This window comes from Homo sapiens, chromosome X (assembly GCF_000001405.40).
Source record: "Homo sapiens chromosome X, GRCh38.p14 Primary Assembly".
Taxonomy (NCBI): domain Eukaryota; kingdom Metazoa; phylum Chordata; class Mammalia; order Primates; family Hominidae; genus Homo; species Homo sapiens.
In genome coordinates, this window is record NC_000023.11 from 95,284,768 (window position 1) to 95,311,793 (window position 27,026).

Genomic DNA, 27,026 nt, shown 5'->3' on the forward strand with positions numbered 1-27,026 from the left:
CACATGTGCATTCCCAAAAACTGAAAAATACTGCTCAGTAAAATAGAGAAAAAGTACTAACATGCATATTTCCACACCCAGAAATATCTTTATTAAAATTTTGGTTTATGTTTTCCAACCTATTTCTGTGTATGTGTGGGTGTGTGTTAAAAAAATGTGAGCATTCTCCACAAAGTCTTATATACTGTTTTTTATTTTACAAAACACAAATTTGACTGTGTAATAAATACAATTGGCCTTCTGTATCCATGAGTTTCATAGATTCAACCAACCATACATTGAAAATGTTTGGAAAAACTATATAAATAATAATACAAGAACAGAAAATAACACTTTAAAAAACAAAATATAACCACTATTTACCTAAAATTTACATTTTATTAGGTGTTTCAAACAATCTAGAGATAATTTAAAGTATATGAGAGGATATGCATAAGTTATATGTAAATTCTATGCCATTTTATATAAGAGACTTAAGCATCTATGGATTTTGGTATCCATGAGGAATCCTGGAACCAAACCCTCACAGATACTGGAGGACGAATGTGTTTTTTTGTCTTTTCTTTTTTTTTTTTTTAATTATACTGTAAGTTCTAGGGTACATGTACACAACGTGCAGGATTGTTACATAGGTACACACGTGCCACGTTGGTTTGCTGCACCCATTAACTCGTCATTTACATTAGGTATTTCTCCTAATGCTATCCCTCTCCCTGCCCCCCACCCCATGACAGGCCCCAGGGTGTGATGTTCCCCACCCTGTGACCAAATGTTCTCACTGTTCTATTCCCACCTATGAGTGAGAACATGTGGTGTTTGGTTTTCTGTCCTTGTGATAGTTTGCTCAGAATGATGGTTTCCGGCTGCATCTATGTCCCTGCAAAGGACATGAACTCATCCTTTTTTATGGCTGCATAATAATCCATGGTGCATATGTGCCACATTTTCTTAATCCAGTCTATCATTGATGGACATTTGGGTTGGTTCCAAGTCTTTGCTATTGTGAATAGTGCTGCTAAACATACATGTGCATATGTCTTTATAGCAGCATGATTTATAATCCTTTGGGTATATACCCAGTAATGAGATTGCTGGGTCACATGGTATTTCTAGTTCTAGATCCTTGGGGAATCGCCACACTGTCTTCCACAATGGTTGAACTAGTTTACACTCCCACCAACAGTATAAAAGCGTTCGAATGTGTTTTTCATAAAGCTGAAATTTAAATGTTGGCCAGTAGTCTTCTGTGTGAACATACCTAAATGTACATAACTATTTTACGTTTATTTTCTTTTATTTTCAACTATTTCCTTATAAATAACATTGTGATTAATATTCCTGTGCATAAACATGATGCCGATTACTAATTATTTACTAAGCTTCAATTACTATACGTGAATTATAAGTCAAAAGGTATAAACAATGTTTGAATCCTTATACACACTGCCAAATAGCTCTCTAAATAAGCCATCTCAACTTAGACTACCACCAGCTCAAAAGCCCTGGACCCCCCTCACTATATTCCACCCAGAGACAGATGACGGTTTTCATTCCTGACTAACAAATAAACAAAAACAAAAAGACTTTTTTACTTATAAAAATATGTAACACAAGTTATGTATTTCCAGGGCTGAGAGAATGTTCAATTTTAAAATAGGCAAAATCTATAATGTTGCTATCTCTTTTTCTGTCACATTTCTGTCTACATTTAGTATTCCTTCTTCCTATTTTCACCCACATGAAGCAAGATATCTCATACTGCAATTTTTTACTCTTTTTAGAAAGATAAATTTTGATGTACAATATTAAAGAATGCTAAAATTCCTATCATTAAAGAGTAAAACAAAATATTTAGTATGAAGCCTCCCTGATGTACACTAAACTTCCAACGATTTCAACTATCACTTATTTGTTTAAGGCTAAACGCTGCCTTGTACACTTCTACATGGAAGGGTGCCTACCACCTGCCAGGTACTATACTTACACTTTATGTAATCTCACTCAATCCTTAGTATAATCATTTGAAGTGGGTATTTTTTTTTTCATATTATATAGATAAAGAAAGTAAAGCACAGTGGGGAGAAGTAATTTGCTCAAAGTCACATGGCCCTTAGAAATAATTCAGCATGGTAGAGAAGATGTATCTAGTCCATTAACTTCTTTGCCCTCATCTCTCAAAGCTCTCCTCCTAATTCTAAATCTAATCACATGTTTATTTCAGTTTTCTCAGCACTCATTAATGTTCTCTTTTGCCTTGTCTATTTGTATTTGAAATTACCTACATAGCTCCTAATATTAGTCCTCCAAACTCTTCATTCTACAGGTTAAATTTTGGAGGTTACTTTGTTTAAGCAAACTTCCCTAGCTCTTCTATCTTGGTTAAATACGTCTCCTATCTGGTCTTAGCGTACACTTGTATGGGTGCTAATAAAGCACATACAATGCTGAGTCACGGATACTTTGTTAAACCACCCAGCTCTCTTTCAGAACTTAGGTACTTAGTCCTCCAGCTGCTTACAAACATTGGTAGCTGAGCCTTTACCTTAAGACCATACCTCCTTTCCTGAAGTACACAACATTCAATGACTGGCAAATGCAGGTATGTAAAGGTCCAGAATCACTGCCTCAAGGTGACATAACTTTTGAAGATCATATCCATTCTAGAGTATCCAGAGGGACCTGCTGAGGTCTTTGTTAACATTTTATCTGGTTCAGCTCCCTCTGTCCAATCTTTTTGTCTTCTGCCCCTCATAGATGTTGATTCTGAGAGTATCTCACCTGCCCACATAACAAATGTGGCATGCAAATCTACATCTCATAGACTTTTCTTAAAGAAGACAACAAAAATAGTCAACATTTTAACTGATTTCTTTCTTGGCTATTTACCTCAATAAACTATAAATCAAAGAGAGCTTTTGTTCTCCATCATCTCCACAGTCTTTCTCAATAAATACTGATTGAATAAATGCATGAATGAAAAAGAGTTACAATTCCAACTCATAATTGTTGGACACAAAAGTCCGAGTTTCTTCCACTATGGAGTATAGCACTGCCCTCTTAAGGAGATGAGACATAAAATAGGAGAGAAAAAAATACACTTATGCGAAGACTATTCAGCTTTATGTCTTTTCAATCTAGAGGACAAAAAGAGCAGAAAATAAGCCTTTCAGAAAACACAGAATATTTCATTGTTTAAACAAAGTTAGTCTTTATGTAAATAAAACATATAATTTCCTAAATAATTAAGCCAACCAGTCAAATTACGTAGCATAAAAAAATCTATCCTGTATTAATTGTCTTAATTAAAACCAGGAACTCAATTCTTCCTTCAAGGATATTAGAGTATGCTTATTTATTTCTTCTATCCTCAATTATGCTCTACTCCTTGAACTGATGAGAATATTTGTCTAATGTGAATCTATAAAACACTAAGCATAGTAAATACCATAGTTTCACACCTATGCCACTTTTCCCTAGTAATCCCCAAATGAACATCAAAAACATTCAAAACTGATTAAGATAATATAGCAGTATATTATAAATGGACTACCCTAAAGCCTGCAGTTAAATTTGAAGGAAAAGTTAATGTATAAAACCCTACTTAATTTGGGGGCCAAAATAGAGATACCATAATAGAAGATGCATAACCTTCAATACTTTTCAAATGCTCTTACTTTCACAAATAAAAATTAAATTCAACAGTTATCTCCATGTAAAATTTATATGTAAAATGCAAATTTTACTACAATTGTGAAATTCAACCTTTCTATGAATAACACATACATATATGCATACATGTTAATACTCATGTGTATTTATGTACATTTGAGCTAGCATAGAATTCCATTATTTGCACTCAAGAATGAAATAGGATTATTCAAAATAATCTTAGAAACCTAAGCCCAGCAACAAATAAAATCATATTCTTAAGGACAATTGTGGGTGTCATAGCGTAATCATCTTTTTTGCCAATGAAATAAAGCACAGTGTGAAACATTTTCTGTCTCTTCAAAACAGTCTTGTGTAATTTCATGATGGCATATGAGTTTGAGCTACCGTGAATAATTGAAATGAAATGGTAATTATTAAAAAAGAAGTTGAATCTTAGACTATTATTAACATGATTTGTATAATATGCCCCTGCTATATTTAAAAACAAATGGGATTTATAGTCATACTAGTCTGAATTAGAGCAAATCTCAATTTTGATCTTTGGTTTCTATAACTAGTTAGGCCAAATGATTCACTGAGATACAATTGTATGGGCAAGAAATTTAGATATGAGCAAGGAGAACATGGAAAGAATACCATACTGAAATGATACAGGAGCTAGAAATAAATTATTTAGACAGATAGTGAGGGTAAGAGAGTCCTCAGTAAGGTTTCCTTTTAATTAAAAGCAGCCTTGAAAAGGCTAGCTAGGGGTCAAGCATGGCCAGCTTCTTCAAATATTATGTAAATGGCATACCTGGCCTGACCAATCTCTTGGGCCTTATGTAAATCAGACAGTGCCTCCTCAAGCTCATCTATAAAACCCCATGCATTTAACCATGAAACTGGGAGACACACTTAGGATCCACTCTCTCTCTGCAGGAGAGAGAGATTTTCTCTTTTCTCTCTCCTATTAAACCTCCACTCTGAATCTCACTTCTTCTGTGTCTGCATCCTCAATTTCCTTGGAGTGAGACAATTCTTGGGTATTTACCCAAGAAAACAACACTGCTTCAGAATCACTCAATCTCTTTGTTAGAATGTTATGATTCATAATTGATAAGAAATGATTATACAAGGAATGAAAAGCAATAACCAGAAAAAGGTAACAATAAAAGTATTTTTTTTTTTTGCCATGCACCTTCAGGTTTATCCTTGCTTACACCAAAATGATTAATAAATTAATTTAATTCCACATATAAATCAATTGTATTATTACAACTACCAGAGGATATTTAAATGTTTTTTTTCTTTTATTTAGAAAGCTTTGTTGGAATAGTACCCATTAGTAAACATATCACCAAATTTGAAACAGCTTACACATTTAAACCTAAAGACAATAAAGAGAAAAAATTCACCAAAAGTGTATGCATATGACCGAGGTAAGTGACTGCTCACATTGTTTCAGCCTCGTATGCAAAGGTAAATATAAATGTCAGAAAAAAATTAGGCCAAATGTGGCTGCTCACGTCTGTAATCTCAGCACGTTGGGAGGCTGAGGTGGGAGGATTGCTTGAGGCTGGAAGTTCAAGACCAGCCTGGGAAACATAGTGAGACCCCTCATCTCTACAAAAAATTCAAAAATTAGCTTAGTGTACTGTTTCTTACCTGTAGTCCTAGCTACCTGAGAGGCTGAGGTGTGAGGATCTCTTGAGCCCAGGACTTTAAGGTTGCAGCGAGCTATGATTAAGCCTTTGCTCTCCAGATTGGGTGACACAACAAGATCTTGTCTCAAATTTTTTTTTGTTTGTTTATTATAGAAGAAAGAAAATAAAGGAAAGAGGTGAAGCAAGATGAAGGAATAGAATGCTCCATGAATCATCTCCATGGCAATTTAACAACTATCTACACAAAATGAGCACCTTTATAATAACCAAAAATCAGGTGAGCACTCACAGTACATGATTCTACTTTCATGTCACTGAAAAAGACAGTGAGTGGGTAGAAAAAACAGTCTTGAATCACCAATGCCCACTCTACCCTCATCCTCCAGCTGTGATGGCGTGCTGTTAAAAGCGTTCCTGTGCTCTGGGGAGAGGGAGAGTCAGCAATTGTGAGTCATTGAACTCACCGCTACCCTGTTACAGCAGAAAGTAAAACTGAACCAAACTGAGATAATGCCCACCCACTGAGGAGCATTGAAACCAGCTCCAGACAGAGAAGAATCACCAATCCCAGTAGTCAGAACTTGAGATCCTGCAAGCCTTGCCACAATGGGCTAAAGTGCTGTGTGACTCAAAATAAACTTCAAAGGCAGTCTAGGCCTAAAAGACTGTAAATCCTAGTTAAGTACTAGTGCTGAACTGGGCCCAGAGCCAGAGAACTAAGTGGACAAGTAATCTACAGGGACAACAGGGCAGCTAAAGGAGTGCTGGCATCAATGCTTCTCTAACCTCAGGCTGCACAGCACAAGGCTCCCAGATAGACCCCTTTACTCTGCATAAAGAGAGAGAAAAGAAGAGTGTGTAGGACTTTGTCTTGCATCTTGGATACCAACTCAGCCACAGCTGACTAAGGTATTGATCAGAGTCATGAGGTCCCCGTTCCAGGACATAGCTGTGAGACAACATTTCTAGACACACCCTAGGCCAGAAGTGAGCTCTCTGCCTTGAAGGAAAGAACCCTGTCCTGGAAGAATTATCTGCTAAGTGAAGAGGCTTTAGCCTCTGCAAAACCAGGAGTGATACCCAAATGCTACATTGAGAGCTTGGGCTGAGACTCTGAGACTTGCTGGGTTAAGATGAGAATAAGCATACTCCCAGCTGTGATGACTATGGGGCAAGACACCTTCTGCTTGACAAAAACAGAAAGAAAAGTAAAAGGGACTTGGATTTGCACCTTAGGTATTAGCTTAGTCATAGGGGGAGGGTAGAGCACTAAGCAGGATCTTGGGGTTCCTGATTCCAGTATTTGGCTTCTGAAAAGCATTTCTGGGCCTTTCCTGTACCAGAGTGATTCCCATTGCTCTGAAAGATGAGACCCATGCCAAGCAGCATTCACGACGAAAGCTGACTTAAGAGACATCAGGACTGAAGGAAACATTGGTGGTACTCTGGTAGTAATCCCTGTGGGCCTGGTGACAGAGGCCATGAGGTAAGGCTCCTGTAACTTTAGAAAGGGGAGGAAAGAGTGAGAATGAATGTGTTTTGTGGCTTGAATGCCAGCTGAACAACAGTGTATTGGAACACCAGGCAGACTTCTAAGGTTTTCCAATCTAGTCCCTGGCTCCTGGACAGCACCTCTTGACATGCCCAGGACCTGTGGAAACTTGCCACCCTGAATGGAAAGACAAAAGCTTTGCTGGGTTTGCCACCTGATGATTGCCAACCTCAGGATCTTGAGCAAACATAGGCTGTAGTGAGGGAAGTATTGCATCAGGCTTTGAGAAAGACCAAGTGCTGTGATTGAATCAGGTCTGACCCAGGAAAGTCCTAGTAGTGATGGCAACAGGGTGCTTGTGTTACACCTTTCCTAGCTTTAGCTGGCTTGGAACAGATCGAGAGACTCAGTTAGTTTGGTGTAAAATAAGGGAAGAGAACAAGAGTCTCTTCCTAGTAATCCAGAGAATTATTCAGGATCTCAACCAAGACTACAAAGGCAATATCTCTATGAGTATAGAACAATCACAGCAATACTAGGTTTGGAATGTCCCTTAAATAGGATACACCTTAGAGCACACACTTAAGTCTTTTCAAATATCTGGAATGCCTTCCCAAGAAGAACAGGTAAAAAGAAATCCAGATAGTGAAGAGCACAATAAATACCTAACTTTTTAGTACCCAGACACAGACAAACAGGTATAAATACCAAGACAATCCAGAATAACATTACTTCCTCAAATGTACAAAATAAAGCAACAGGGATCAATCCTGGAGAAACACAGACATGTGACCTTTCAGACAGATAATTCAAAATAGCTGCTTTGAGAAAATTTTAAAAAATAGAATAATAGAGAGAAGGAATCAATAATTCTGTGAGATAAATTTAAAAAAGAAATTGCAGTAATTGTATAGAATTAAGTAGAAACTCTGTGGCTGATAAATGCAATTGATGTACTGAAGAATGCATTTGAAAGTTTTAATAGCAGAACTGATTAAGTAGAATAAAAAGTTACCAAGCTTGAAGACAGGGTATTTGAAAATACAGTCAGAGAAGACAAAACATAAAAGAATAAAAAAGAACAAAGCATGCCTACATCATCCAGAAAATAGCCTCAAATGGGCAAATCTAAGAATTATTGGCCCAAAAAATAGGTAGAGAAAGAGATAGGGGCAGAAAGCTTATTCAAAGGCATAATAACACAGAACTTCCCAAACCTAGAGATAAATATAAATATTCAAGTACAAGAAGGTTATAGAGTATCAAACAGATTTAACAAAAAGAAGAATACCTCAAAACATTTAATAGTCAGTTTCCCAGAGATTAAGGATAAAGAAACAATCCCAAAAGCAGCAAGAGGAAAGAAACAAAGATTATACAGTGCAGGCCAGGTGCAGTGGCTCATGACTGTAATCCCAGCACTTTGGGAGGCTAAGGCGGGCAGATCACAAGGTCAGGAGATCGAGACCATCCTGGGTAACATGGTGAAACCCCGCCTTTACTAAAAATACAAAAAAATTAGTTGGGCATGGTGGCACGTGCCTGCAGTCCCAGCTACTTGGGAGGCTGAGGCAGGAGAATAGCTTGAACTCAGGAGGCAGAGGTTGCAGTGAGCTGAGATCACACCACTGCACTCCAGCCTGGGTGACACAGCAAGCCTCCATCTCAAAAAATAATAATAATAATAATAATAATAATAATAATAATAATAATATACAATGCAGTTTCAATACAACTGGAAGCAGACTTTTCACTGAAATGCTTATATGTCAGTAGACAGTTGCATGACATATTTTAAGTGTTCAAGGAAAAAAATTCTACCCTAGGATAGTATATCTGGTAAAAAAATATATAAATATATACATAATGTGCATATTTTATATATAAATATATTTATATATTTATATTTTATACACAAATATATATTTATATATACCATATAAATATATATTTGTATATAATATGCAAATACATATTTATATATACCATATTTATATTTTATATTATATATAATATAATATGCATAATATTATATATTATATATTTATATTTATATATTATATATTATAAATATATAAATATGTTTTTATATATAAAAATATATAAATATGTTTTTATATATAAAAATATATAAATATGTTTTTATATATAAAAATATATAAATATGTTTTTATATATAAAAATATATAAATATGTTTTTATATATAAAAATATATAAATATGTTTTTATATATAAAAATATATAAATATGTTTTTATATATAAAAAAATATAAATATGTTTTTATATATAAAAAAATATAAATATGTTTTTATATATAAAAAAATATAAATATGTTTTTATATATAAAAAAATATAAATATGTTTTTATATATAAAAATATAAATATGTTTTTATATATAAAAAAATGTAAATATGTTTTTGTATATAAAAAAATGTAAATATGTTTTTGTATATAAAAAAATGTAAATATGTTTTTGTATATAAAAAAATGTAAATATGTTTTTGTATATAAAAATATGTAAATATGTTTTTGTATATAAAAATATGTAAATATGTTTTGTATATAAAAATATGTAAATATGTTTTTGTATATAAAAATATGTAAATATGTTTTTGTATATAAAAATATGTAAATATGTTTTTGTATATAAAAATATGTAAATATGTTTTTGTATATAAAAATATGTAAATATGTTTTTGTATATAAAAATATGTAAATATGTTTTTGTATATAAAAATATGTAAATATGTTTTTGTATATAAAAATATGTAAATATGTTTTTGTATATAAAAATATATATATATTTTACCAGATATACTATCTTAGTGTAGAATTTTTTTCTTGAACACTTAAAATATGTCAGTTAAAATATAGTATAAAGATATATTTATATAATACATATATTTTATATTAATATATATATTTAAGCATATATATGCTTAAAATATGAAGAAGAAATACAGGCTTGTTTCCCGGGCTGGAGTGCAGTGGCATGATCTCAGCTCACTGCAACCTCTGCCTCCCGGGTTTAAGCGATTCTCCTGCCTCAGCCTCCCGAGTAGCTGGGATTACAGGTGTGCACCACCACGCCCAGCTAATTTTTTTTATTTTTACTAGAGACGGGGTTTCACCATGTTGGCCAGGTTGATCTTGAACTCCTGATCTCAGGTGATCCACCCACCTCAGCCTCCCAAAGTGCTGGGATTACAGGCATGGGAGCCACCGTGCCTGGCCAAACCTCTTTTCTTTATAGATTACCCCATCTTGAGTATGTCTTTATTAGCAGCATGAGAACAGACTAATACACCACCTTACAGCAAAATCAAACCCTCAAGGTCATCAAATACAACTTCAAAAATCCAAAAGTCACTAACTTCAAAGACTGAAGGAACATAAGACCACAAAGATGAGAACAAACGAGGACAAGAACTCTGATACCTCAAGCATCTAGAGTGCCTTCCTTCTTTCAAATGGCCACATAGTCTATCCAGCAAGGGTTCTAAAGTGGGCTAAAATAGCTGAAATGACAGAAATAAAATTAAGTATATGGATACAAATAAGGAATGTTGAGCTACAAAAATAAGTTGAAACCTAACCCAAGAAAGCTAAGAATTATAATAAAATAAGGCAGGAGCTAAGAGACAAAATAGGCAGGATAGGAAAAAACAAAACCTCTGAGAAACATAAAATTATGTAAAGAAAACAAATACATGGCTCATTGGTGTCCCTGAAAGAGATGGGAATAATAGAACCAACTTGAAAAAATATATTTTAATATACCATCCATGAGAAAGTTCCCAAACTAGCTAGCAAGGCAAAAATTCAAACTCAGGAAACGAAGACAGTAAGAGTGAAATACTCACAAGAAGATTATCCCCAGGACAGATAATCATCAGATTCTTCAAGGTTGAAATGAAAGAAAAAATGTTAAAGCTAGCTAGAGAGAAAGGTCAGGCCACCTGCAAAAGGAAGCCCATCAGGCTAATAGTGGACCTCTCAGCAGAAATCCTACAAGCCAGAGAAAATTGGGGGCGAATATTAAGCATTCTTAAACAAAATAAATTCCAACATAGCATTTTATATGTGGCCAAACTAAACTTAATAAGCAAAGGAGAAATAGGATCCTTTTCAGACAAGCAAATGCTGAGAGAATTTGTTACCACCAGACTTGCTGTACGAGAGCTCCTGAAGGAAGCACTAAATGTGAAAAAGAAAGTGCATTATCAGCTACTATGAAAACACACTGAAGTACACAGATCAGGACACTATAAAGCAACTACATAAACAAGTCTGCAAAATAATCAGCTAAAATAATGAGAGGGTCAAATCCATGCATATCAATACTAACCATGAATGTAAATGATGTAAATGGACTAAATACTCGAATTAAAATGCACAAAGTGGCCAGCAGGATAAAGAACCAAAACCCATTTGTGTACTGTCTTCAAGAGACCCATCTCACATGCAATGACACACATAGCCTAAAAATAAAGGGATAGAGAAAAATCTACCAAGCAAACAAGAAAAAGACCAAAAAAAAAAAAAGACAGAAAAAAGCAGGAGTTGCAATCCTAATATCAGACAAAACAGAAAATAAACCAATGAAGATCAAAAAATACAAAGAAGGGCATTACATAATGGCAAAGCATTAAATTAAACAAGAAGACCTAACTATTCTAAAAATATATGCATCCACCAGGCGTGGTGGCTCATGCCTGTAATCCTAGCACTTTGGGAGGCCAAAGCGGGCATATCACCTGAGGTCAGGGGTTCAAGACCAGCCTGACAAACATGGAGAAAACCCATCTCTACTAAAAATAGACAAAATTAGCCAGGTGTGGTGATGCATGCCTGTAATCCCAGCTATTCAGGAGGCTGAGGCAGGAGAATCACTTGAACCTAGGAGGTGGAGGTTGCAGTGAGCCAGGATCTCGCCATTGCACTCCTGCCTGGGCAACAAGAGCATAAATAAATAAATAAATAAGCACCCAATGCAGGAGTATCCAGATTAATAAAGTAATTTTCTAGAAACCTTCAAAGACACTTAGACTCCCACACAACAAAAAGGGAAGAATTTTATACCCCAATGACAATATTAAACAGATCATCAAGATAGAAAATTAACAAATATATTTATAACCTAAACTCAGAACTGTATCAAACGGACCTGATAGATGCCAACAGAACTCTTCATCCCCAAACAACAGAATGTAACTTATTCTCATGGCACATACTCTAAAATCAGTCACACACTCAGAACTAAAACACTCCTGAGCAAATGCAAAAGAACTGAAATTATAACAACCAATCTCTTGGATCATAGCACAGTCAAATTAGAAATGAAGACTAAGAAATTCACTCAAAACCATACAATTCCACAGAAATTGGATCACTTGCTCCTGAATGACTTTTCAGTAAATAATAAAATTAAGGCAGAAATCAACAGCTTCTTTAAAATAATGAGAACAAAGATATACCATACCAGAATTTCTGAGACACAGCTAAGGAAGTGTCAAAAGTAAAGTTTACAGCATGAAATACCCAAATCAAAAAGTTAGAAAAATCTCAGTTTAACAATCTAACATCACAACTATAAGAACTAGAGAACCAAAAATGTAAAGTAACCCCAAAGCTAGCAGAAGACAAAACAAAAATAATAGCTAAAATGGAGGAGATTGAGACATGACAACTCATTCATATCAATAATTCAAGAAGCTGTTTTTAAAAAATTAATGTAATACATAGATCAATAGCTACACTAATAAAGAATAAAAGAGAAATGATCTAAATAAACAGTTAGAAATGACAAAGAATATATTACCACTTACCCCACAGAAATACAAATAAACATCAGGGAATGTAATGAACACCTCTATGCATATAACCTAGAAAATCTGGAAGAAATGGATAAGCTCCTGGACACATACACCTTCCCAAGACTGAACCAAGAAGAAACTGAATCCCTGAATGTACCAATAATTAGTTCTGAAATTAAACAAATAGCCTACCAACCAAAAACCAAAAGCTAGGACCAGACAGAATCACAGATAATTTTACCAAATATACAAAAAAAGCTGGTATCATTTCTGTTGAAAATATTTTAATAAAATTGATGAGGAGGGACCTCTCCATAAGTCAATCTATGAGGCCAGCATCATTCAAATAAAAAAAAAAAACTGGCAGAGACACAACAACAAATCTTCAGGCCAATATCTTTTGATGAACATCGATGAAAACAATACTCAACAAAGTACTGCCAAACCAAAACCAGCAACACATCAAAGCTGATCCACCATGATCAAGTTGGCTTTATCCCTGGAATGCAAGGTTGGTTCAACATACACAAATCCATAAATGTAATTCATCACATTAGCAGAATTAAATACAAACACCACATGATTATCTCAATAGCTGCAGAAAGGGCTTTTGATATAATTGAACACCACTTTGGTTTAAAAACTCTGAATAAACTAGGTATTGAAAAAACATATTTCAAAATGATAACAGCCATATATGACAAACCTAAAGCCAACATCATACTGAATTGGCAAAAGCTGAAAGCATTCTTTTTGAAATCTGGCACAAGAAAAGAATGCCCTCTCCCACCACTCCTACTTAACACAGTTTTGGACAATGTGTACAGAGCAATCAGGCAAGAGAAAAAAATAAATATAATGAGAGAAAGTTAAACTATCTCTATTTGCAGAAAACATTATCCTATATCTAAAAACTCTATAGTCTCAGGCCAAAAGTTCCTTAAGCTGATAAACAAGTTCAGCTAAGTCTCAGGATAAAAAAATCAATGTACAGAAATTACTAGCATTCCTATAAACCAAACACAGATAATCCAGGAGCCAAAACAGGAATGCAATCTTATTCACAATTGTTACAATAAAATTTAAAAACCTAGTAATACAGTTAATCAGGGAGGGAAAGATCTCTACAAAGAAAACTACAAAACACTTCTCAAATAAATGAGTGATGAAACAAACACATGAAAAAGCATTTCATACTTATGGATGGGAAGAATCAATATCATTAAAAAGGCCATACTGCCCAACACAATTTATAGAATTTTTTTTTTTTTTTTTTTTTTTGAGACAGAGTCTTGCTCTGTCACCCAGACTGGAGTGCAGTGGCACAATCTCAGCTCACTGCAAGCTCTGCCTCCCAGGTTCACGCCATTCTCTCACCTCAGCCTCTGGAGTAGCTGGGACTACAGGTGCCTGCCACCTCACCCGGCTAATTTTGTTTTTGTATTTTTAGTAGAGACAGGGTTTCACCGTGTTAGCCAAGATGGTCTCAATCTCCTGACCTCGTGATCTGCCCACCTCGGACTCCCAAAGTGCTGGGATTACAGTCATGAGCCACCGCACGTGGCACACAATTTATAGATTTAATGCTCTTCTTGTTACAATGTAATTGTAGCAATTACATTTTCACAGCACTATTAAAAAATTTAAAAATTCATATGGAAACAAAAAATGCCCAAATACCCAGGCAATCCTAAGCAAACAGGTGAAATCTGGAGGCATCATTTTACCTGACATCAAACTATAATACAGAAGTACAGTAACTAAAACAGCACGGTACTGGTACAAAAACAGACACATACACCAATGGAACACAATAAATATCTGAGAAACAAGGCTGCACACCTAAAATTATCTGATTTTTGTCCAAGCTGACACAAACGTCAATGGGGAAAGGACTCCCTATTCAATAAGTGATGCTGAGATAACTGGCTAGCCATATACAGAAGATTAAAACTAAACCCTTTCTTTATATCATATATGAAAATTAACTCAAGATAGATTAAATACTTAAATATAAAACCCAAAACTATAAAAACCCTGGAGGAAAACCTAGGGAATATCATTCTGATCATAGAAACAAGAAAAAAATTTCTTGACAAAGATGCAAAAAGCAATTAAAACGGAAGCAAAAATTGACAAATGGAATATAATTAAATTAAAGAGTGTCTGAAAAGCAAAAGAAACTATCAACAGAGTAAGCAGACAACCTATAAAATGGGAGAAATTTTTTTTGCAAGCTATCCACTGAAAAAGGTCTAATATCTAGCATCTATAAGAAACAAACACATGCTCGTGGATAGGAAGAATCAATATTGTGAAAATGGCCATATTGCCCAAAGTAATTTATAGATTCAATGCTATTCCCATCAAGCTTCCATTGACTTTCTTCACAGAACTAGAAAAAACTACTTTAAATTTCATATGAATAAAAAAAGAGCCTGTAGAGCCAAGACAATCCTAAGCAAAATATCAAAGCTGGAGGCATCACACTACCTGACTTCAAACTATACTACAAGTTTACAGTAACCAAAACAGCATGGTACTGCTACCAAAACAGGTATATATATATGTATATGTATATATACACATACATACATGCACACATACACATACACACACACATTATATATATATATATATATAGACACACACACACACACCAATGGAACAGAACAGAGGCCTCAGAAATAATGCCACACATCTACAACCATCTTATCTTCAACAAACCTGACAAAACAAGCAATGGGGAAAGGATTTCCTATTTAATAAATGGTGCTGGAAAAACTGGCTAGCCATATGCAGAAAACAGAAACTGGACCCCTTCCTGACACCTTATACAAAATTAGATCAAGATGGATTAAAGACTTAAAACATAAGACCTAAAACCCTAAAAACCCTAGAAGAAAACCTAGGCAATACCATTCAGGACATAGACATGGACAGAGACTTCATGACTAAAACACGAAAAGCAATGGAAAAAAAAAAAAGCCAAAATTGACAAATAGGATCTAATTAAACTGAAGAGTTTCTGCTCAGCAAAAGAAACCATCATCAGAGTGAATAGGCAACCTACAGAATGGAAGAAAATTTTCTCAATCTATCCATCTGACAAAGGGCTAATATCCAGAATCCACAAGGAACTTCAACAAATTTACAAGAAAAAAAACATACAACCCCATCAAAAAGTGGGCAAAGGATGTGAACAGACAGTTCTCAAAAGAAGACATTTATGTGGCCAACAAACGTATGAAAAAACACTCATCATCACTGGTCATTAGAGAAATACAAATCAAAACCACAATGAGATACCATCTCATGCCAGTTAGAATGGCAATCATTAAAAAGTCAGGAAACAACAGATGCTGGTGAAGATGCAGAGAAATATGAACACTTACACTGTTGATGGGAGTATAAATTAGTTTAACCATTGCAGAAAACAGTGTGGCAATTACTCATGGATCTAGAACCAGAAATACCATTTGACCAACAATCCCATTACTGGGTATATACCTAAAGGATTATAAATCATTCTACTATAAAGACACACATGCACGTTTGTTTATTGCAGCACTATTTACAATAGCAAATACTTGGAATTAACCCAAATGCCCATCAATGATAGACTGGATGCAGAAAATGTGGCACATACACACCATGGAATAGTATGCAGCCATAAAAAAGAGTGAGTTCATGTCCTTTGTGGGGACATGGGTGAAGCTGGAAACCATCATTCTCAGCAAACTAACACAGGAACAGAAAACCAAACACAGCATGTTCTCACTTAGAAGTGAGAGTTGAACAATGAGAACACATGGACACAGGAAAGAGAACATCAAACATCGGGACCTATTGGGGGGTGGTGGGGCAAGGGGAGGGAGAACAATAGGACAAATACCTAATGCATGCAGAGCTTAAAACCTACATGATGGATTGATAAGTGCAACAAGCCCACCATGGCACATGTATACCTATGTAACAAACCTGCACGTTCAGCACATGTATCCCAGAACTTAAAGTAAAATAAAATTAAATTACATTTAAAAAAAGAACCAAAAAAATTTACAAGAAAAAAAACATTAAAAAGTGGGCAAAGAACATGAACAGGCATGCAGCCAGCAAACATGAAAAAAAGCTCAACATCACTGATCATTCGAGAAGTACAAATTAAAAACCACCAGATACCATCTCACGCTAGTCAGAATGGCTATTATTAAAATGATAAAAAACAACAGATGCTGGTGAGATTGTGGCAAAAAAAGAATGCTTATACACTGTTGTCAGGAGTGTAAATTAGTTTACCATTGTGGAAGACAGTGTGGCACTTTCTTAAAGACCTAAAAATAGAAATACCATTTGACCCAGTAATCTTACTATTGGGTACATACCCAAAGAAATATAAATCATTATATCATAAAGACACACGTACACTTATATTTATTGCAGCACAATTCACAACAGCCAAGACATAGAATCAACCTAAATACCCATCAATGGTAGACTAAATAAAGAAAATTTCATGCATATACATCATGGAATACTATGCAGCCATAAAAAACAAGGTGATGTAATTTGCAGCACCAAGGATGGAGCTGGAGGCTATTATCCTTAGCAAATTAATGCAGGAGCAGAAAACCAAATACCACACTTTGTCACTTATAAGTGGGAGCTAAATGATAACACAAGGACACAGAGAGGGGAACAAAACATACTGGGGCCTATCAAGGGTGGACGGTAGGAGGAGGGAGAGAATGTGGTAAAATAACTAATAGGTACTAAGCTTAATATCTGGGTGATGAAATCATATGTAGAACAAATTCCCATCAGTTTAACTATGTAGCAAACCTGCACATGTACTGCTGAACTTAAAAGTCAAAGTAAAAAAAAATTATTAAGAATGTCAAAACTTTAATATGGTGGAGAAGCAGCTGTGTGGAGAACATTCTTCTAAAACACTGAATGGCAAATACAAAAGCCATGACACTTGTGGCCAAAATTAAAGACTGTGGCAAAAACACAAACAACAGCATGCTGATAGCCTGAGTAAAAAACTGGGGAGTAAAATACTTTATTGAATAAGAGCTTTTAAAAGCTCTCACAAATATCAGGGAATCTACCAAGTTACATACATGCCCACAGCAAAAAAACATGCTCAGAAAAGACCTGAAAAGACTATAAGCTTTAACATCTGGCTTATGTTTAGACTTGATAAGGAAAGTGAAGATTAAAGTAGAACTGTATATGGTCTCACTAAGCATCAAAGGATTGCCACAACACAAAGCCAATCTGCAAATGCCAGAAAAGTATGTGTTTTTATTTCCTCTTAATTTGGAATGCTCCATATGTTTAAGAAAATTCTTTTAATGACCAGCTGCTCACTAAACTGTAGCAGCACAGCTTTCAAAGATCATATGACAGAGAAATAGTCTTTACAAAATGTAGTTTAGAAAGTCACAAAACAAATGAACAACTACAATGCACAGCAAGTAAAAAAAATCCAGGGAAATATGGAGAAGAATATGATCTCTAGAGCAGCTAAATTATAATATTCAAAATAACTATTATTTAACAAAAGCTAACTAGACATGCAAAGAAACAAGAAAGTACGAGCTAGTTAAATAAAAAGAGAGAGAAAAAAGAAAAAAGGAAAATCACACACACGAAAAAGTAATATTTTTTTCTGACAAGTCACAGTCATTAGACTTACTAGACAAATAACTTAAATGAACTCCCTTAAATATGCTCAATAAGCTCAAAAGAAAGCCCTAGGGGAAAAGAAATAATTATAATCCCCAAGGTAACCACTAAGAAAATAACTTAAAAATATACTAAAAGTGAAATAGGGAATCAAAAGGAATTACTCTGAATAATAAATTAAATGCAAAAAAGGCTGTAATGAAGGGATTATGGTAAAAAATAATACACAGCATATAGAAAGCAAATTTCAAAATGGCAGAAATAAATTATTACTTACCAGTCATCACTTTATGCTTTATCTTAGCCGAAAGACCAAGAATCAATCAGTAATCACTTTAATGTAAATGAATTAAACTCATCAATCAGATGGCAGAGATTGACAAAATGAAAACAAAAAAAAAACATGATCTACCTATATATTCTCTACTAGAGAATCATGATAGACATGAAGATAAAAATAGGGTGCAAGTAAGCATATGAAAATAGATATCCTATGCATATTTATTAGCCAACAGAAACCCGGGGTAGCACTACCAATAACTGACAAAATAGATATTATGTGCAAAATTATGCTAAAAGTAAAAATAGGAGGTTATATATTGATAAGAGCATCAATTCATTAAAAATAGATAACATTTATATACTCACCTAATTACAGAGCCCCAAAATATATAAAATAAACATTAAAAGAAATGAAGTCATAGAAAGCTCTACAAAAATAGAGACTTTAATACTCCAATTAATAATGGGTAGAACTGGTGAGATCAATAAGAAAATAGAGGACTTGTACAACTCTATTAACCTATTAGACCCAATAGACACATACAGGACTCTTCCTCCAACAAAAGCAAAATACATATTCTTCTCAAGTACACATGCTACTTTCTCCAGAATAAAGCATGTATTAGGCCAAAAAAAGAGTTTTAAGAAGTTCAAATGATTGAAATCTTACAAAGTATTTTCTCTAAACATAAGGGACTAAAACTAGAAATCAAGAAAAGAAGAAAAATTAACATGTGTGTAAATTAAACCACATACTTTTAAGCAATCAATGTTTCCATGAAAAAAATCACAAAGAAAATTGGAAAATACTTTGAGATGATTAAAAGTAAAGACAAAGCATAATACAACTAATAAGATGGCCAAAGCAGTGCTCAAAGAGAAAGTGATAGCTGTACATTCCTTCGGTGAAAATAAAATCTTTAACTAATAACATAATTTACACCTCAAGAAACTAGAAAATGTAGAATAATCTAAACCCAAAGCATAAGAAAGAATGTAATAAATATTAGAATAAAGATAAATGACATAGACAATAAGAACACATAAATCAATGAAACCAAATGTTTGTTTTTTGAAAAGAACAACAAAATTGCCAAACAGAGAAGACACATATTGCTAAAATCAAAACTGAAAATGAGGACTTTATTGTGGACACGATGGAAATTAAAGGTTTATAAAGGAATATTATGAACAATTGTATGGCAACAAATTAGACAACCTAGATGAGATAGGCTAATTTCTAGAAAGACACAAACTAAAGCAAATGGACTGAAAAATATAGAAAGTTTGTAGAAACCTATAGTAAATTAAGATATTGAATAAGCAAAAAAAAAAAAAATTCACATACACACACACCCACACAGACACACCCCCCCCCCCAAACACACACACAGACAGGACCAGAAAGAATCAATGGTAATTTCTACCAAACATGTAAAGAATAATGAACATTTTTTCTTAAACTCTTCCAAAAATAAAAAAGGTGGGACTATTTTTGTACTAATTTTATGAGGCCAGGATTACCCCAATACCAAAGCCAGACAAAGACACTTAAGAAGGAAATTATAAGCCAATATCACTTATGACTATAAATTTTTAAATCCCCAATAAATTACAATAAAACCTAAGTGATGTCAGCACAATGGTAAAATAAAAGCAATCTGGTTTTACCCTACCCCACAGAAAACCAGAAACAACTACCCAGTGTCAAGATAAACACCAGGAATATCCCAGAACTATAAATACTGCCTAACCTAAACTAGGAGAGTATTAAAAGGACCATGCACTATGACCATGTAGGAATTCTCCTAGGATGCAAAAGTTTTCCAACATACAAAATCAATGACTGTAATATCCTACCTTAATGGAAAGAAGGAAAAACCCATATGATCATCTAAAAATTGATGCAATGAAGCACCTGAAAAAAATTAACACCTTTTATTATAAAAGTACTCACCATATTAGGAATGAAGAAAAAGATCCTCAAAGTGATATAAGGCATTTACATTAAAAAATAGCTAGCATAATAAACAGTTAAAGATTAAAAGCATTTTTCCTAATATTAAGAACAAGACAATATCGACTCTTACCACTTATATTTAAAATTGCACTGGAGGTTCTAGACAGGAAAATTGGGCAACAACTGAAAATAAAAATATCTAAATTAGAAAAAATTATAAGGTTATTTATATTTTAAGATAATATGATCTCTGATCTTCTATATAGAACATATCAATGGATCTAAGAAAAATGATGAGTCAAGAAAGTAATTCAGCAAAGTTGCAGGATACGAGATAAATACACAAAGATTATTATATTTGTATAAACTAGCAATAAACCATATTAAAAAGCAATTAAGAAAACAGTTCCTCTTACAAAAACACAAAAAAGAGTATGCTTGCAAATAAATTTAAACAAGGGATTGCAAGAACTGTACATTGAGAACTGCAAAACACTGCTAAAAGAAATTAAAGATCTAAATAAACAGAAAAAGTTTTTATATTCATGGATTGAAAAACAATATTAAGATGGCAATAATACCCAATTAAATCTATAGATTCAATTCATTCTCTATCAAAATCCCAGTGGTAGTTTTATTTTACAGAAATAAAAACACTACTTCTAAAGTTAATATAAAATTGCAAGAGACTTCAAATAGCCAAAACAACTTTGAGAAATAAAACAAAGTTGAAGGACACCCTTCATGACTTCAAAACTTACTATAAAGCTACAATAATTTTTAAAAATGTGATGTTGGGAGAAGATAGAAATATAGATCACTGAAATAAAAGTTCTAAAATACATCCTTAAATCTTTGGCCTACTGATTTTGACAAGGGTGCCAAGACATTCAATAATAAAAGGAAGTTCTCTTCTTTAAATGATACTAAGACAACTAGATAGCCACATGAAAAGAATAAAGTTAGGCCATTTCCTCACGCCACATAAAAAAATTATCTCAGCCAGGCACGGTGGCTCATGCCTGTAATCCCAGCACTTTGGGAGGCCGAGGCTGGTGGATCACCTGAGGTCAGGAGTTCGAGACCAGCTTGCCCAACTTGGCAAAAACCCATCTCTACTGAAAATACAAAAAAAAAGCCGGACATGGTGGCAAGCACCTGTAATCCCAGCTGCTCGGGAGGCTGATGCAGGAGAATCACTTGAACCTAGGAGGCGGAGGTTGCAGTGAGCCAAGATCGCGCCACTGTACTTCAGCCTGGGCAACAAGAGCAAAACTCCACCTCAAAAAAACAACAACAACAACAAAAATTTATCTCAAAATGGATCAAAGAGCTAAATAAAACATCTAAAAATACAAAACTCTAAAAGAAAACTTGAGGGGAAAGCTTTATGACTTTGGATTTAGCAATGAATTCTCAGATACAAGAAAAAAGGAAAAACAACAACAAAAAATAGAAAATTGGACATCATTAAAATTGATGTTTTGTGTGTATCAATAAATACTATAAAGAATGCCAAAAGAGAACACATAGAATGGGATAGATTGTTGGTAAAATCATATTTCTGGTTTGGGCCTAATATCCAGAAGATATAAAAACTCTTAAAACTCAATAAGAAAAATAGAGAAAACTCAATTTTTAAATGGATGAATAAATGGATAGACTTTTCTCCAAGAAAACACACAAAAATGGCCACAAGGACATAAAAAGATGTTCAAAATTATTAGTCATTAAAAAGATGCAAATCAAAACCACAATAGAGAAAGAAGAACGAAGCATGTCTCCAATGTCCCAAGATTTCAGTGCACTGCCCAAATGGCTGGTTTCTGCATCATCTCACGTTGAGCACTGACAGAAACAACAGAGTTCACATGCCTGGGAGTAAATAAGAACAAAGAAAAAGGGGTAGATGGCTTGCTGCAGTCTGCACAGCTCTTAAAGATTGGGAGAAGGCACAGAACTTGAGGTTTCTTCTCCAGGAGAAAAGGAGAGGAGTTAAGAGTCCTCCAACATACCAGTCTTTCATTATGCTGCCAGAGGGGGGTGGTTTCTGTCTTGCTTGACATAGAATGCTGACAGAACTGGCATAGTTCAATCACCTGGGACAGCTAGGAATGGAGAAAAATGGGTAGGCTACTTGTTGTAGCCCATAAGGCTAGGCAAGATTAAGATAAAGTGAAGAATCTGAGGCTTCTTCCCCAGGAAGAAGAAAGAGAAGTAGAGCATGCCTCCAATATTCTGGCCTGTCAATATGCTGCCTGAGTGCCCAGTTTCCGACTTGCCTCACACGGAGTGCTGACAGAACAGATATAATTCAGATGCTTGGAGAGGACAATTAAGAACAAAAAAAGGGACAGGTGGCTTACTATGATAGGTACAGCTATGCTCTGTGAGATTGACAAAAGGCACAAAATCTGAGGTTTCTACCTCTGAAGGGAGGAAAAAAAAAAGTGGATCATGCTTCCAACAACCTGGCCTTTCATTGCACTGCCCAAGAGGACAGATTCAGTTGCATGATACCTTGAGTGCTTACAGAATTGGCACAGTTTGGTGGAACCAGATAAAAACACAGGAAAAAGGGAAGGCAGCATGCTGTGCCCACCATGTCTCTGCAAGATTGAGAGAAGGCACAGAAGCCAAGCCTTCTCCACAAATAATGTAGAAGAGTGATGCATGTCTTCAACATCTCAGCCTGAAGCACAGCAGTCAGACACCATAGGAAGTAAAAGATTATTATAAGCTCTTAAAAGAAAAAGAATCAGTAAATCTTTCTAATTATTAACCTACACATACAAGTCCAGAGAAGACACATCAATTAAAAAGGCTTGAGAGGCTTACAGAATCTCTAGAGTGGATGATTGTTGAAGTACTTTGTCCATTGAAGCTATTCTGTAAAGACTAGAAAAGATGGCTGCTTCAAATTTATCATCAACACAACAAAGCTATAAGAAACACAAAGAAGCAGGAAAACATAACATAATCAATGAAAGAAAATAAATTTAAAATAGGTGACCTTAAAGAAACAGAAATCTAAAATTTGCCAGATAAGGAATTCAAAATAATTATCTTTAAAATTTTTACGGAGTTACAGATGAATATAAATAGACAATTCAGTAAATTCAGGAAAATAATACATAAAATAAGAATATCAACAAAGATAGAAACTATTAAAAAAAAATTCTGCCACTGATGACTATAACTAAAATAAAAAAGTTCAGAGAGCTTTAACAGCAAACTTGATCTAGCAAAAGAAATAATCAGCAGGCCAGGCGCGGTAACTCACGCCTGTAGTCCCAGCACTTTGGGAGGCCGAGGCAGGTGGATCATGAGGTCAGGAGATCGAGACCATACTGGCTAACATGGTGAAACCCCGTCTCTAATAAAAATACAATATATTAGCTCGGCGTAGTGGCACGCGCCTGTAGTCCCAGCTACTCAGGAGGCTGAGGCAGGAGAATCACTTGAACCTGGGAGGCAGAGGTTGCAGTGAGCTGAGATTGCACCACTGCACTCCAGCCTGGGCAGCAGAGTGAGACTCTGTTTCAAATAATAATAATAATAATAATAATAATAATAATAATAATAATAATCAGCAAACTCAAAGACATATTATTTGAAATGGTCTAGTCAGAGAATTTAAAAAATAGAATAAAAAGAGTGAAGAAAGACTAGGGGACTCAGGAAACACCATCAAGCAAACCAATATATGCATTATGAGGTTCAGTGACAATAAGAGAGGATAAGTAAGAGGTAGAAAGGGGCATAAAGCTTATTTCATGAATCATTGGTGGTGCATGCCTGTAATCCCAGCTACTTGGGAGGCTGAGGCAGGAGAATCGCTTGAATCCTAGAGGCGGAGGTTGAGGTGAGCCGAGATCGCTCCACTGCACTCCAGCCTGGGAGACAGAGCAAGACTTCATCTCAAAAAAAAAAAAAAAATTAGCACTCCATTGGCTGCCCCAGCTGATGTCTCAGTTTGTCATGTGCACTCCAGTCCATTGTCTCTGGGCTAAGTTCAGCACTAGAATTCACCTAAGAGTTGCGGTTTTTATGCCCTAGACTACCTTTGAAGATTACTTGGAGACAGCGAGCAGTGAGCACTGTAGCTCTCGGTGGGGAGGTTTGCAGTCACTCAACGTTTGGACTACTGGGATGGGGGATTCCCCTCTGGCAGGCATCTTCTGAGTTTGGTACGGTTTTCTTTCTGCTCTAACAGCACAGCACTGAGTTCGATGCCTCACAATTGCTGTGTTCTCCCTCCCTCAGTGCCCAGAGACGCTCTTCACTCCATATCACCACTGCCAGGGGTACGGGAGGAGTTTTATCAGCAATTCAGGACCGTTTTTTCTATTGCTTCACTGCCTCTTTTAGTGATATGAAGTTAAAACCAGGTACTATGAGTGCCCACCTGATTTTTTGGTTCTTATGAAGGTGTTTTTTCTTCTGTAAATAGTTGCTAATTTGGTGTCCCACTGGGGGAGACAATCAGTGGAGCTTTCTATTCTGCCATCTTGCTCTGCCTGGCAATCTCTCTCAAGGTATTATTTTCTAACATTATTCTCAAAAAAAAAAACAAAAACAAAAAACAAAAAACCGAGGCTTCTAATAAAATGGAAATAATTTTATCTTCCAGCTTTTTGCATTCTAAGTGGTAGTGGTCTCCTTTCTTATTTCACTGTTATTCTTCTTAAAAGATGTTTATGCATTCTGGATACAAGTGCTTAAGAATATAGAAATATTGATATACAGATACAGATCTATCTTTGACCTATCATCTACCTACCTATTCATCTAAATTTCTTTCATTCTGTCACTTGCCTCATCAATTCCATTTTTTAAAATTATTTAATTATTTAATTTTTAATTTTTGTGGGTATATAGTAGATGTATATATTTATGAGGTACATGAGATATTTTGATATAGGCACGTGATATAAAATAAGCACACCATGGAGAATAGGGTATCCATCCCCTCAAGCATTTATCCTTTGAGTTACAAATAATTCAATTACTCTTTTCAAGATATTATAAATTTTACAAATAAGTTATTGACTACAGTCACCCTACTGTGCTATAAAATAGTAGGTTTTATTCATTCTATTTTTTATATCTAGTAACCATCCCTACCTCCCTCACAACCCCAACAACCTTTCCCAGCCTCTGATAAACATCTTTCTACTCTCTATGTCCATGAGTTTGTTTTGATTTTTAAATCCCACAAGTAATTGAGAACATGTGATGTTTGTCTTTCTGTACCTGGTTATTTCACTTAACATAATGGTCTGCAGTTTCATTCATGTTGTTGCAAATAACTGGATCTAACTTTTTATGGCTAAATAGTGCTCCATTGTGTATATGTATCATATTTTCTTCATTCATCTGTTGATGGACACTTCAGTGGCTTTCAAATCTTAGTTATCGTAAACAGTGCTGCAACAAACAAGGCAATGCAGATATCTTTTCGATTTACCGATCATTTTTTCCTTTGGGTATATACCAGCAGTAGGATTGGTAAATTATATGATATTGCATTTTTTAGTTTTTCAAAAAACCTCCAAACTGTTCTCCATAATGATTGTACTAATTTGCATTATCACCAACAGTATACTGGTGTTCCCTTTTCTCCACATTCTCACCAGCATTTGTTATTGCCTGTCTTTTGGATATAAGCCGTGTTAACTCGGGTGAGATGATATCTCATTGTAGTTTTGATTTGTATTTCTTGGATGATCAGTGATGTAGATCACCTTTTCATATGCCTCTTTGCCTTTTGTATGTGTTCTTTTGAAAAATGTCTATTCAAATTTTTGATTATTTTTAATTTGATTATTAGATTATTAATTAGCCGGTGATAAAGGCTTCCAGAACGTTTTTTTTTTTCCTTCAAGAAAACAGGTTTCCTACTGGCCCAAGGTGAGTGTAAAAATATCTGGCATCTAAAGCCTGGAACAGGGGTCTCATGACTCTGACCAGTGCCCTATCCTATTGTGGCTGAGCTAGTATCTAAGAGGCAAGACAAAGTCCTCCCCACTCTTTTCTTTTCTTTCCTCAAGTAGGAAGATGGGATCTCTTTTGGAACTGTGAGCTTGCAGCCTGGGGTTAGGGGAGGGTGTTGTCAGCACTCTTGGCTGCCCCAGGTGTTTTCTTAGTATGTAAAATCCCTCCCTCCCCAGTTTACTGTCTCTGGGCCGAGTTCAGCACTAGGATGCACCCAAGAGTTGTAGTCCTTATGGCACAGTTTGCCTTTCAAGTTTGTTTGGAGACACAGGGAACTGTAGCCCTCGGTGGCGAGATTTGTGGGAACTCAAGCTTGGACCACTATGATGGGAGATTCCCCTCTGGCTAGGGCTGGTTTAAATGGTTTATCTCTGTGTGGGCATCCTCTGAGTTTGGTTCAGTTTTCTTTTCTGCTCTAACAGGACAGCACTGAGTTTAATGCCTTACAGTTGCTTTGTTGCCTC

The 27,026-nt window shown here is 35.1% G+C and overlaps 2 annotated features.

Annotated features, from left to right (window-relative positions):
* Nucleotides 5,051-6,250: an enhancer, noted in NCBI's record as "CDK7 strongly-dependent group 2 enhancer chrX:94544817-94546016 (GRCh37/hg19 assembly coordinates)". NCBI's record gives its function as "activates an origin of replication core promoter dependent on BRD2, BRD4, P300/CBP, MED14 and CDK7 cofactors, with strong dependence on CDK7, by STARR-seq in HCT116 cells {active_cell/tissue: HCT116}" and the evidence as "EXISTENCE:reporter gene assay evidence [ECO:0000049][PMID:35650434]".
* Nucleotides 5,607-6,131: an enhancer, noted in NCBI's record as "NANOG hESC enhancer chrX:94545373-94545897 (GRCh37/hg19 assembly coordinates)". NCBI's record gives its function as "activates a minimal SCP1, AML or CMV promoter by ChIP-STARR-seq in naive H9 embryonic stem cells {active_cell/tissue: H9 hESC(naive)}" and the evidence as "EXISTENCE:reporter gene assay evidence [ECO:0000049][PMID:30033119]".